Source organism: Homo sapiens, chromosome 7 (assembly GCF_000001405.40).
Source record: "Homo sapiens chromosome 7, GRCh38.p14 Primary Assembly".
NCBI classification, from domain to species: Eukaryota; Metazoa; Chordata; class Mammalia; order Primates; family Hominidae; genus Homo; species Homo sapiens.
The window spans coordinates 76360526-76373785 of NC_000007.14; the positions used below are offsets into that span (position 1 = coordinate 76360526).

Below are 13260 nucleotides of genomic sequence, written 5' to 3' on the forward strand. Positions count from 1 at the left end.
GGCGGATGACAAGGTCAGGAGATCGAGACCATCCTGGCCAACATGGTGAAACCCTGTCTCTACAAAAAATACAAAAGAACTAGCTGGGCGTGGTGGTGCCCACCTGTTATCCCAGCTACTCGGGAGGCTGAGGCAGGAGAATCACTTGAACCCGGGAGTCGGAGGTTGCAGTGAGCTGAGATCCCTCTACTGCACTCCAGCATGGGTGACAGAGCGAGACTCCGTCTCGAAAAAAAAAAAGAAGTGAGCTTTGGCCTGGCACGGTGACTCACACCTGTAATCCCAACACTTTGGGAGGCCGAAGCGGGTGGATCATCTGAGGTCAGGAGTTCGAGACCAGCCTGGCTAACGTAGCAAAACCCCATCTCAACTAAAAATACAAAAATTAGCTGGGTGTGGTGGTGGGCACCTGTAATCCCAGCTACTTGGGAGGCTGAGGCAGGAGAATTGCTTGAACCTGGGAGGTGGAGGTTGCAGTGAGCCGAGATCGTTTCATTGCACTTCAGCCTGGGCAACAAGAGCGAAACTCCATATCAAAAAACAAAACAAAAAAAAAGTGAGCTTTGCAGACTCTGCTGCTGCCAGGAGTACTCTACTACTGGCCATGGTCAATCCCACCGTGTTCTTTGACATTACTATTGAGCCCTTGGGCTGCGTCTCCTTCAAGGTTAGGGGCATGGAAACCAAGAAGCCAAGTGACCTCTCCGGAGCTTGCAGTGAGCCGAGATTGTGCCAGTGCACTCCAGCCTGGGAGACAGAAAAAGACTCCGTCTCAAAAAAAAAAAAAAAAAAAGAAGTGACCTCTCATCTAAACTGTAAAGCCATGTTAACATATCGGAGCTGTTAGCAGACAGTGTTGTAAAGACAGCAGAAAACTTTCGTTCTCTGAGCACTGGAGAGAAAGGATTTGGTTATAAGGGTTCCTACTCTCTCTTTTTTTTTCTTTTCTTTTTCTTTTTTTTTTTTTGAGACAGAGTCTCGCTCTGTAGCCCAGGCTGGAGTGCAGTGGTGCAGTCTTGGCTCACTGCAACCTCTGCCTCCCGGGTTCAAGCGATTCTCCTGCCTCAGCCTTCTAAGTAGCTGGGATTACAGGCGCGCACCACCACGCCCAGCTAATTTTTGTATTTTTAGTAGAGACGGTGTTTCACCATGTTAGGCTGGTCTCGAACTCCTGACCTCATGATCCATCCGCCTCAGCCTCCCAAAGTGCTGGGATTACAGGTGTGAGCCATTACGCCCGGCAAGGGTTCCTACTTTCACAGAATTACTCCAGGGATTATGTGTCAGGGTGGTAACTTTACACACCATAATGGCACTGGTGGCAAGTCCATCTATGGGGAGAAATTCGATGAAGAGAACCTCATCCTGAAGCATACAGATCCTGGCATCTTGCCCATGGCAGATGTTGGACCCAACACAAATGCTTCCCAGTTTTTCATCTGCACTGCCAAGACTAAGTGGTTAGATGGCCAGCATGGAGGTCTTTGGCAAGGTGAAAGCGAGCATGAATATTGTGGAGGCCATGGAGCGCTACGAGTCCAGGAATGGCAAGACCAGCAAGAAGATCACCATTGCTATGGCCGGGCGCGGTGGCTCACGCCTGTAACCTTAGCACTTTAGGAGGCCGAGGTGGGCAGATCACTTGAGGTCAGGAGTTCGAGACCAGCCTGGCCAACATGGTGAAACCCCTGTCTCTACTAAAAATACAAAAATTAGCTGGGCGTGGTGGTAGGTGCCTGTAGTCCCAGCTACTCCAGAGGCTGACGCAGGAGAATCGCTGGAACCTGGGAGGCAGAGGTTGCAGTGAGCTGAGATTGCACCATTGCACTCCAGCTTGGGCAAAAAGAGTGAAACTCCCTCTAAAAAATAAATAAATAAATAAAATAAAATCACCATTGCTGACTGTGGACAACTCTAGTAAATTTGACTTGTGTTTTATCTTAACCACCAGACCATTCCTTCAGTAGCTCAGGAGAGCACCTATCCATCCACCCCATTTGCTCCCAGTATCCTATCATCTTTGTGTTCTTGCTACAGTTCCCTTTGAGTCCCATGATTTTCTTATTCCCTTCCATGTCTGGGTGGATTGCAGAGTTAAGTTTGTGACTATGAAATAAAAACTAAATAACAACAAAAAAATCAATAAGAAGTGAAAAATAAAATAGGAAACATGAAGTGTGGATGAGAATGTGGAATGAAAGAGTTTCCATGGGGGAATATTGCAGGCTCTATGCCAGATGCTGGAGGACCCCTGTCCTCAAGGAATTCAGAGTGTGTTAAGCACTGTAAATATTTTGTTTAAAAAATAACTTCTTTCAGGCTGCATAGGAAGAGATTCTGAAAAGCTTCTCCAGGGAGTTTGGTAACATTTCCAACCCAGCCTTTAAATGAGTGTAGGATTTGAGAGCAGGCAAAGGCACAGGTAGCAAGACTCAAAGGCAAGTTCCTCCCTGACTTATTTATTTATGTACTTATTTTTTAGAGGTGGGGGTCTCACTATGTTGCCCAGGCTGGGGTACAGTGGCACGATCATAGCTCACTGCAGCCTCTAATTCCTGGGCTCAAGTGATCCTCCCACCTCAGCCTCCTGAGTAGTGGGGACTACAGGCATGCACCACCACACCCATCTCCCCTGAAATATTTATTGATAGGCAAAGAATCTGATGTATCTGGTGTCTGGGTGATGGGTAAGGGGCTGGGGATAGAGTCAGGGGCCAGAACATGAGGGGCACTGAATGGCAGCCCCAGGAGTTAAATTTCTATTCTGAAATTAATCGGAAGCCTGTGAAGAGATTTTAACAATGGCAGAAAATGATCAGATTTGGGTTTTGTCTTTTTCATCCTCACCTTGGCTTCTCAGTGCTCAGCAGAGTACCTGGCACATGATAAGTACATAGAGAGAGAATAGGAAATAAATAAATGAATATGGCCAGGTGCACTGGCTTACGCCGGTAATACCAGCAGTTTGGGAGGCCGAGGTGGGCTCATCACCTGAGGTCAGGAGTTTGAGACCAGCCTGGCCAACATGGTGAAATGCTGTCTCTACTAAAAATACAAAAATTAGCCAAGCGTGGTGGCGTGTGCCTGTAGTTTCAGCTACTCGGGAGGCTGAGGCAGGAGAATCGCTTGAACCCAGGAGGTGGAGGTTGCAGTGAGCCAAGATTGTGCCATTGCACTCCAGCCTGGGCGACAGAGTGAGACTGTGTCTCAAAAAAGAAAAAAAAAAGAAAGAAAAACAAGAAATGAATGTAGCTGTAGTCCTAGCTACTCAGGAGGCCAAGGCAGGAGGATTACTTGAGGCCAAGAGTTCGAGACTAGCCTGGGCAACATAGCAAGACCTCATTTCTACAAAAAAAAAAAATTTAAAAATTAGCTGGGCATGGTCATCACAGCTATTTGGGGGCTGAGGCAGGAAGATTGCTTGAGCCCAGGAGTTGGAGGCTGCAGTGAGCAGTGATCACGCCACTGCACTCCAGCCTGGGCAACAGAGCAAGACCCTGTCTCTAAAAGAAAGAAAGAAAGAAAGAAATGAATGAGGGAAGAAAGTGTGCTTTGGGGAGACTGTACCGGCAGGAGGTGGAGGAGATGGACTGAGTGGGGAGAGAGTCTAGAAATAGTTTTCTCCCCCTCCTCCAACAAAAGATCTGGCCCGGACCCTCTTCTCTTACCACACCACCCAGCAAAATGCGATCCTGCTGGTGAATAAACCCTCCCACTTCCTTCTGTCTCTTGCATGAGTGTTCGCCAAGTCATTCCTCTTCCTTTCTCTTCCTCCCTGCAGGGCAGGCCTGAGCTCTTCTGGCCCCTGCATCACTAGTCCGTGGGAATGAGCCCTGACCGCCAACCTGGGTTGCCCACATGTGGCTCAAACAGGTCCATGATTCAAGACCAGATGTGAAATCTCAGGAACTTCCTGGCCCATTTCAGGCTACCTCTCTGACCTCTCCACCTCAGTTCCTTCCCCCAACAGTCTAATGCACAAAGGGGAAAAAAAAAAAAAAAAAACAGCTCAGGCCAAATCTGTTTGGGAAAAAGTAAAATAAAGCAGATGCAAAGAAAAGGATGTTTCACAGCCAAACAGAAATGACATCCGCAGCCTCCACACGGAGCCTCCCCTCCAGTGGTGCAGGGGAGAGTTGGCCCTGTCTTCCTTTCCCTTCTGATTTTGCAGAGCTCTATGCTTCCAGCTGCAGCTGCCCACAGGTCCTGGCTGTTTAGAGGGCGGCTTAAGAGGCATGACGACATCACAAAGAGCAAATGGCTTCAGATCCTGGCTTCCTCCTCCACTGCCTGGTGGTGCAGAAAGAAACCTGGAGCAAGGACGTTAAGAGCTAGCATTCTGGCTTCTGCCTGGCCCCTAGCTCTGCGGGCAAGACCTGTCCCTTCTCTGGGTCTAATATCCCCACCTTGAAAATGTGAGATTAAACTGAAGGAGCACTAAGTGCCCCACCCAGCTGTGATGAGTCATAGTTCTAGATTCAGCATGTTCTTCTGAAATGGAAGCTACTGGCATTCTTTTTTTTTTTTTCTTCTTTTCTTTTTTTTTTTTCTTTTTCTTCTCTTCCTTTTTTTTTCTTTTTTTTTTTGAGATGGAGTTTCGCTCTTGTTGCCCAGGCTAGAGTGCAACAGCACGATCTCAGCTTACCACAATCTCTGCCTCCCAGGTTCAAGCGATTCTCCTGCCTCAGCCTCCTGAGTAGCTGGGATTATGGGCATGCGCCACCATGCCCGGCTAATTTTTGTATTTTTAGTAGAGATGGGGTTTCTCCATGTTGGTCAGGCTGGTCTCGAACTCCTGATCTCAGGTGATCCGCCTGCCTCGGCCTCCCAAAGAGTTAGAGCTGGGATTACAGGCGTGAGCCACAGTGCACGGCCAGTTTTTTTTTTGTTTTTTGGTTTTTTTTTTGAGACAGAATCTTGCTCAGTTGCCCAGGCTGGAGTGCAGTGGCGCGATCTCAGCTCACTACAACCTCCGCCTCCCAAGTTCAAGTGATCTCCTGCCTCAGCCTCCTGAGTAGCTGGGATTACAGACATGTGCCACCACGCCCGGCTAATTTTTGTATTTTTAGTAGAGACAGGGTTTCACCATGTTGGCCGGGCTGATCTCGAACTCCTGACCTCAGGTGATCCACCTGCCTCGGCCTCCCAAAGTGCTGGGATTACAGGTGTGATCCACCGCGCCCAGCTTCACCCCTGTTTTTTAAGACAAGGAAGCAGAGACACAGAGAGGCTGTGTGATCAGCCAAAAATCACACAGCCTCTCCGTGTCTCAGCTAACAGAGCCTGGATTCAAACCCGGGCAGACCTCCTAGACTCTTAGCAGCAAAGGCATTGTTTCCTGTCCAGGATCTACCCTCCTTGGCATCTGCTCAGGAAAGGAGTGACCAACCTGACCGAAGGGCACCCTCCAGCCCCTTCTCCAGCACTGGAGGACATGACCTTTTAAATGCATGCTGTCCGGCTCGGTTGGCAGACATGCAGGACAGCCAGGGACATGATTGTCCTGCTGTTTCTGTGCAGTCATAAATCACCGCAGCCCCATCCCCTGGCTTCTGGCTTCCTCCTGTGGCTGGAAAGCTCCCTGATTAGTGCAGAGGCAGCAGCAGCATCTTCTGAAGCCAAGCAGCAATGCTCCCCGCCCTGTCCTCTGGGAACACTTCCCTGTCACTGCCTTAGCAGGCTGTCCTGCAGCAGAGGCAAAGAATGACAGGAAATCTCTGCAACCTGCCTCTCCTTCTGAGGATCTCAGGCCAGTGGAGGAGGCATGAGCCCAGGAGGCAGGACCCACAGGTTGAAGCACTGGCTTTGCCATTAATCTTCCTGAGTGACCTTGGGCAAATCACTTTGCCTCTCTGGTTCTCAGATTGTGCATCTATAAAATAGAGGAACCAGGTGGATGCGTCTTAAGATCTTCCAGTTTATAGCAACAGCTTTTCAGCTAATGGCCCTGTCTCAGTGTCTTTCCATTCTCCCCAGTGAAAAATCCAAAATATCTTTTTTTTTTCTTCTGAGACAGGGTCATGCTCTATCGCCCAGGCTGGACTAGCAGCCTCGACCTCCTAGGTTCAGATGATCCTCCCGCCTTAGCCTTCAGAGCAGCTGGGAATACAGGCTCACACCACCACGCCCAGTAGAAAAAAATTTTCTATTTTTTTTTTTTTTTTTTGTGGAGATAGGGTCTATGTTTAGTTGTCCAAGCTGGTCCCAAATTCCTGGGCTCAAGCAATCCTCCTGCCTCTACCTCCCAAAGTGCTGGGATTATACATATGAGTCACCACACCTGGGCAGTCTGGGCTTTTTCTTTTCTTTTTTTTTTTTCTTTTCTTTCTTTTTTTTTGAGACAGAGTTTTGCTCTTGTTGCCCAGGCTGGAGTGCAATGGCACAATCTCAGCTCACCGTAACCTCCACCTCCCAGGTTCAAGCGATTCTCTTGCCTCAGTCTCCTGAGTAGAAGAGATTGCAGGCATGTGCCACCACGCCCAGGTAATTTTGTATTTTTATTAGAGATGGGGTTTCTCCATGTTGGTCAGGCTGGTCTCGAACTCCCGACCTCAGGTGATCTGCCCGCCTCGGCCTCCTAAAGTTCTGGGATTACAGGTGTGAACCACTGCGCCTGACCCAGTCTGGGCTTTTTCAAAAGCTGTTCCTTGTGCTGAAAGCTCCTTCTATGCCCACCCCCATTAGACCCAGACCTCCTCATCCTTCAGACTCAGACACTGAGTTGAACTAACCACTCTCTCCTCAGTCCCCATGGGCTCTCCTGCCATGTTCTCTAGAGAAGAGCCCAGACCACCATATAGCACTCAGATGTATATGAGTCTGTCTTCCCTGGGGTCATATTCCTGAAAGACATAGACTCAGTCTGAGCCATCTCTGATCTCCAAGCCTAGCATGGAGCAGGTGCTCAGCGAAGTTGTGTTCAATGAAGGAGACTCTCTGCTTTAAGAAGGGAATCAGGGAAGGCACTGTGGCTCACACCTGCAACCCCATAACCCCAGCACTTTGGGAGGCTGAGGTGGGAGGATCACATGACCCCAGGAGTTGGAGGCTGCAGTGAGCTATGATGGCGCCACTGCACTCCAGCCTGGGCAACACAGTGAGACGCTATCTCAAAAAATTTTTAAAAAACAAAACAAAACAAAACAAAAACAATTTTTTAAAAGGAGACCAGGTGCAGTGCCTCATGCCTATAATCCCAGCACTTTGGGAGGCCAAGGCGGGTGGATAACTTGAAGTCAGGCATTCAAGACCATTCTGGCCAACATGATGAAACCCTGTCTCTACTAAAAATACAAAAATTAGCCAGACGTGGTGGTACACGTCTGTAATCCCAGCTACTTGGGGAGGCTGAGGTTGGAGAATTGCTGGAACCTGGGAGGCAAAGGTTGCAGTGAGCTGAAATCACGCCACTGTACTCCAGCCTGGGTGACAGAGCAAGACTCCTTTAAACAATAAAATAAAATTATCCCACCAAGGGAATGTGTGTCACCATGAAAAAAATGGGCCACTGTCTCAAAGAGACAAGTATGTTCAAGAGGGAGAAGAGCCTGGGCTGCAGTCTTCTCCCGAAACCCAGCTGTGTGAACTTAGGCCAAGTACTTTACCCATCTAGAGCTTGGGTTCCCCAACTGAATCTTAAAGAGAAATCTGTACCATGCCCTTTGAATCGAACTGTGAAATGAACAGCAGTATTCTTCGACTTCGTAGAAGAATCTGGAGTGTTTTGGTACTTGGAATACCAACAGAGGACAAATGACTTGTGGGGGACCCATAGTGGTGGGGATGATGGCAGCCTGTGGTTTTTCTTGTGTGTATGTGGGTGTGTGTGTGTGTGTGTGCGTGTGCACGCATGTGTATGTGTGTGTGCATATGTGTGTGTATTGCAACAGCGTCTCCCTTTGTCACTCAGGCTGGAGTGCAATGGTGTGATCATGGCTCACTGCAGCCCTCAACCTCCCAAGCTCAAGCGATCCTCCCACCTCAGCCTCCCAAGTAGCTGGGACTACAGGTGCACGCCACCACATCCAACTAATATTTTGATTTCTTTTTCAGAGACAATGTCTCTCTGTGTTGCCTAGGCTGGTCTCAAACTCCTGGCCTCAAGCAATCCTCACACCTCGGCCTCCCAAAGTAGTAGGATTACAGGTGTGAGCCACCACTGATGGCTGCTTTTGTTTTTAGAGGACTCCAAGTGGCAGAGAGCCCATCAATTTCAGCTCAGTTCAAGGAAGCGATTTCTCCATAAGCTGGAGCTCTCCAGCAATGGCAGGGGAGTCAGGGGACAGAGACCACTGCTCATGGGTAATGCTGAGCAGTGGTCCTCAGCCTAGCTGTGCATCACAGTCCCCCAACACTTTGAGGAAGCTGATCTAGAATACGGCCCCAGACCCCACCTAGACATAGTGGGTCAGAGTCTCCAGTGCTGAGAGGTCTGAGGATCTGTATGTTTTCAAATCTCTCTGGAGGGTTTGTGCACCACCAGTGGTCTGAAGGAGGCCAGCCTGGGTTGCCTGAAAAGGAAGGAAAACAGCCAGGAGGGGTCCCAGGAGCCGGCTGGAAGGGGTGCAGGAGCTGGCATTTTCTGATGTTGGCCATTCTGCCGAGTCAGCCCAGCACTAATGCTTCCAGAGTGCAAATCCCACTTGGTCATGTAATAGGAACACCAGTGCTGACGCAGCAGGCAGACAGGAGCCCAGGCTGCACCGGGGCAGGAGGTAGGCGCAGACATTCAGCCCCAACTCCTTGCTCTGAGCCTGGGGACAGGCAGGGGCAAAAGGTACCATCTCCACCTCCAGCTTCCAGCACAGTCAAGATGACTCAGAGGCGTGGACCCTGCAGTGCCTTCTAGGTTTCAGAGCCAGCCAGGTGCCCTTCCTGTCTTCCTGGAGTTTGGGATTGCTAAGTTGGAAAGGACTGTAGAGGGACTCTAGTTTGTCCAGGATGGAAATCCCTTATACAGCTCGCCATCTCCTTGTTCTCAGCCCTTCCTAGCACACCTCCAGCCACAGGCAATTTACCATTCCCCAAGGTCACCTCTCCACTGTGGGACAGCTCTCACGTTCCCAGAACCTTCTGCCCGTGCTTTCTTATTCTACCCTCTGGGGTTAAAAGACAAAAAATACGGGCCAGGCGCGGTGGCTCACGCCTGTAATCCCAGCACTTTGGGAGGCCAAGGCGGGAGCATTTCTTGAGCTCAGGAGTTCAAGACCAGCCTGGGAAACATGGTGAAACCCCATCTCTACCAAAAATACAAAAAGTTAGCTGGGTGTGATGGTGCACGACTGTGGTCTCAGCTACTTGGGAGGCTGGGGTAGGAGGATGGCTTGAGCCTGGGAGGCAGAGGTTGCAGTGAGCTGAGATCATGCCACTCCACTCCAGCCTGGGTGACAGAGTGAGACTCCATCTAAAAAAAAAAAAGAAAAGAAAAAGGATAACTTTCCTTCTCCCTAACAACTTTTTAAATTAAAAAAAAATTTTTTTTAACTTGTAGTAGAGGCGAGATCTGACTATGTTGTCCAGGCTTAAGTGCAGTGGTGGGATCATAGCTCACTGCAGCCTCCAACTCCTGGGCTCAAGTGATCCTCCCACCTCAGCCTCCTGAGTAGCTGGGACTACAGGCACCACCATGACCAGCTAACTTGTTTTGTGTAGGGATGAGGATCTTGCTATGTTGCCCAGACTGGTCTCAAACTCCTGGCCTCAAGTGATCCTCCCCACCTTCGCCTCCCAAAGTGCTGGAATTAAAGGTGTGAGCCTCCACTCCCAGCTTCCAGAAGCTTTTTTTTCTTTTTTTTTTTTTTTTGAGACAGAGTTTCGCTCTGTTGCCAGGCTGGAGTGCAGTGGTGCAATCTCAGGTCACTGCAACCTCCGCCTCTCAGATTCAAGCGATTCTCCTGCCTCAGCCTCCCGAGTAGCTGGGGACTACAAGCGCACACCACCACGCCCAGGTAATTTTTGTATTTTTAGTAGAGATGGGGTTTCACCACGTTGGCCAGGATAGTCTCGATCTCCCGACCTCGTGATCTGCCCACCTCGGCCTCCCAAAGTGCCGGGATTACAGGCATGAGCCACCACGCCCAGCCCAGCAGCTGTTAAAGATGACACCAAACACAAAAATTAGCCAGGCGTGGTGGCACGCACCTGTAGTCCCAGCTACTCGGGAGGTTGAGGCAGGAGAATCTCTTGAACCAGGGAGGCAAAGGTTGCAGTGAGCCGAGATCGCACCACTGCACTCCAGCCTGGGTGCCAGATCGAGACTCCACATCAATCAATCAATCAATAATGACACCAGAATGTGTGAAGCCCTTTTGTCCCCACATTGGACACTCTCCAGGAGTGGAGAGTAGGTTTTCACCACGTGCTTCTCTCCATCCATAACGCCTGCTGTGCGATGGAAATGGAAAGATGACCAACGACATCAGTGGCCACGACATGGGGTGCTAAGCTCTCGACACCACCCCCTTTGAGAAATATGAGCCCAGAGTATTACGTAAGGCCAAAGAGCACCTTAGGTCAAGTGAAGGTTTGGCCTCCAGCCCCAGGGTAGCACGATCTCGGCTCGCTGCAACCTCTGCCTCCCGGGTTCAAGCAATTCTCCTGCCTCAGCCTCCTGAGTAGCTGGGATTACAGGTGCCCACCACCATGCCTGGCTAATTTTGTATCTTTAGTAGAGATGGCGTTTCACCATGTTGGTCAGGCTGGTCTTGAACTCTTGACCTCAGGTCATCTGCCCGCCCTGGGCTCCCAAAGTGCTGGGATTACAGGTGTGAGCCACCGTGCTTGGCCAACTGGATTTATGTCTAACCCCGTCTATCAGAGGATGCAGAGGAAGGTAGGTAGGTGAGGGAGGGCACAGAGGGAAGAAGCGAATGACCTGCCCCCTCATGGGAATGAGAAGGAGTGTGGTCTCTGCAAGAGACAGGGTGGGTCAAAGTCAAGGCCCCACTGGAGAAGTTGGAGGGAGCGCAGTTGCCAGGTGGACTGCCCAAGACTGCGGCCATCCATGCTGGATTCAGGAGCCAGGACAGCAAATAGAACCCTAGGGGCCTGGTTCCAACAATGACTTGCTAAATAACCTTAAAGCAATCACTTCTCTTCTGTGGATCTCTGTCTCTCCTTTGCTAAATGAGGAACCAATGATCCATCAGCTCAAAACAAGACACTTGGGTTAATATGAAAACCTTTACATTTTCTTGCCTTTGCCAAAGTTATCTGAACTCCAGCTATCCTGTGCAGATCAGAAGTGCTCAATGATGATGGCTCACGCCTGTAATCCCGGCACTTTGGGAGGCCGAGTCAGATGGATCACTTGAGGTCAGGAATTCGAGACCAGCCTGGCCAACACGGTGAAACCTCGTCTCTACTAAAAAAAAAAAAAAAAAAAAAATGGGCCAGTCACTGTGGCTCACACCTGTAATCCCAGCACTTTGAGAGGCCAAGGTGGGCGGATGACCTGAGGTCGGGAGTTTGAGACCAGCCTGACTGACATGGAGAAACTCCATCTCTACTAAAAACCCAAAATTAGCCAGGTATGGTAACACATGCCTATAATCCCAGCTACTCGGGAGGCTCAGGCAGGAGAATCACTTGAACCTGGGAGGCAGAGGTTGAGGTGAGCAGAGTTGGCGCCATTGCATTCCAGCCTGGCTAACAAGAGTGAAACTCTGTCTCAGAAAAACAAACAAACAAGCAAAAATTAGCCGGGCATGCATCTGTAATCCCAGCTACTCGGGAGGCTGAGGCTTGAACCCTGGAGGCAGAGGTTGCAGTGAGCCAAGATTGTGCCACTACACTCCAGCGTGGGTGACAGAGCCAGACTCCATCTCAAAAAAAAAAAAGTTAAGAAGTGCTCAATGAGCCATGCACGGTGGCATGTGCCTGTAGTCCCAGGTATCTGGGAAGCCGAGGTGGGAAGATCGCTTGAGGTTGGGAGTTCAAGACCAGCCTGGGTAACATGCTAAGACCCCATTTCATAGAAAGAGAAAATGCATACATACATAAAGAGGGCACGATGGCATCATGAGGATTTCCTAGGTTCTGGGGCTGTGGGAGGGCAAGATAAACAAAAGGTCCTGAGAAGCAAAACCTGAAGATGGACTAGCTGTTGACCTTCATTTCTTTTCTTTACTTTTTCTTTTTTTTTTTTTGAGACAGAATCTTGCTCTGTCGCCCAGGCTGGAGTGCAGTGGTGTGATCTGGGCTCACTGCAACCTCTGCCTCCGTCTCAAAAAAAAAAAAAAAAAAAAAAGATTTGGAGCCCCAGCTGGGCACAGTGGCTCACACCTATAACCCCAACACTACAGGAGGCCAAGATGGGAAGATCTCTTGAGTCCAGGAGTTGGAGACCAGCCTGGGCAACAGAGTGAGACCCCGTGTGTATAAAATAAAAAATTCAAAAAATTAGCCGAGTGTGGTGAGCCACACTTGTAATCCCAGCTGCTCAGGAGGCTAAGGCAGGGGGATTGCTTGAGCCTGGGAATTGGAGGCTGCAGTGAGCTATGATTGCACCACTGCACTCCGGCCTGGGTGACAGAGCAAGACCCAATCTCTTAAGGAAAAAAAGGAAAAAAGATTTCAAAACAACTGTTTTGAACAGTAAATTAATGGTCAGATGAAGGAGGGAGGAGCTGATACTGGTGGTGGCTGCGGGCAATAGGAAGGCTTCATTAGGCTGGGAGATGCCTGGGACGGTTTAATTGCAGGAGCCTAGAAGAGAGTGAGGCTGGAGGGTTAGGGGGTGGAGGTGGGAGGGACAGGTGGATAACTGGAAACGGGGAGATCTGGAGCACTCAGGGAGGTTCCACTGAAGTGGGAGGCGAGTGAATGGACTTCTGAGCAGAGAGCAGACAGGTCCCTGGGAACCTGTTTCTCTGAGAAGTGTTTCTCTGAAGTCATCTGCTGAGTCATGGAGGAGGATAGGAGGAGGCTGGAGAACAGGCTGAAGGTTTCCAGGAGCCTCTGGAGAGGGTGGGGAGGACGCTGGGGAAGGACTGGCCGTTGGAGTACCAGCTGGGCCTGGAGACCAGACCCTGAGGGCCCCCCATCTGTGGTTTTCTCCAGGGCCCTCAGCAGCCTGGGCTAGGAGCTGAGAAAGCCAAGGTCAGACCACCCACAGCAAGCAGTGGCCCACTGCGGCCATGAGACTGGGGGATAAGGAGTTCAATATACCGAAGAAGTGAGTGCTCAGATTGGCCAAGGTGGAGAAAGGAAAGAAGGAGGCAGTCAGGGGCTGGAGGCCTGGGGTACCCTGAAGAATAGGTA

At 50.1% G+C, this 13260-nt stretch overlaps 1 pseudogene, besides 2 other annotated features; it reads left to right on the forward strand.

Moving 5' to 3' along the window:
- PPIAP81 (peptidylprolyl isomerase A pseudogene 81) lies at positions 1243–1588 on the forward strand (annotated as a pseudogene).
- Positions 3957–4644: an enhancer, noted in NCBI's record as "H3K27ac-H3K4me1 hESC enhancer chr7:75993799-75994486 (GRCh37/hg19 assembly coordinates)". NCBI's record gives its function as "activates a minimal SCP1, AML or CMV promoter by ChIP-STARR-seq in primed H9 embryonic stem cells {active_cell/tissue: H9 hESC(primed)}" and the evidence as "EXISTENCE:reporter gene assay evidence [ECO:0000049][PMID:30033119]".
- Positions 4170–4419: an enhancer, noted in NCBI's record as "active region_26199". NCBI's record gives its function as "activates an Ori minimal core promoter by ATAC-STARR-seq in GM12878 lymphoblastoid cells {active_cell/tissue: GM12878}" and the evidence as "EXISTENCE:reporter gene assay evidence [ECO:0000049][PMID:35858748]".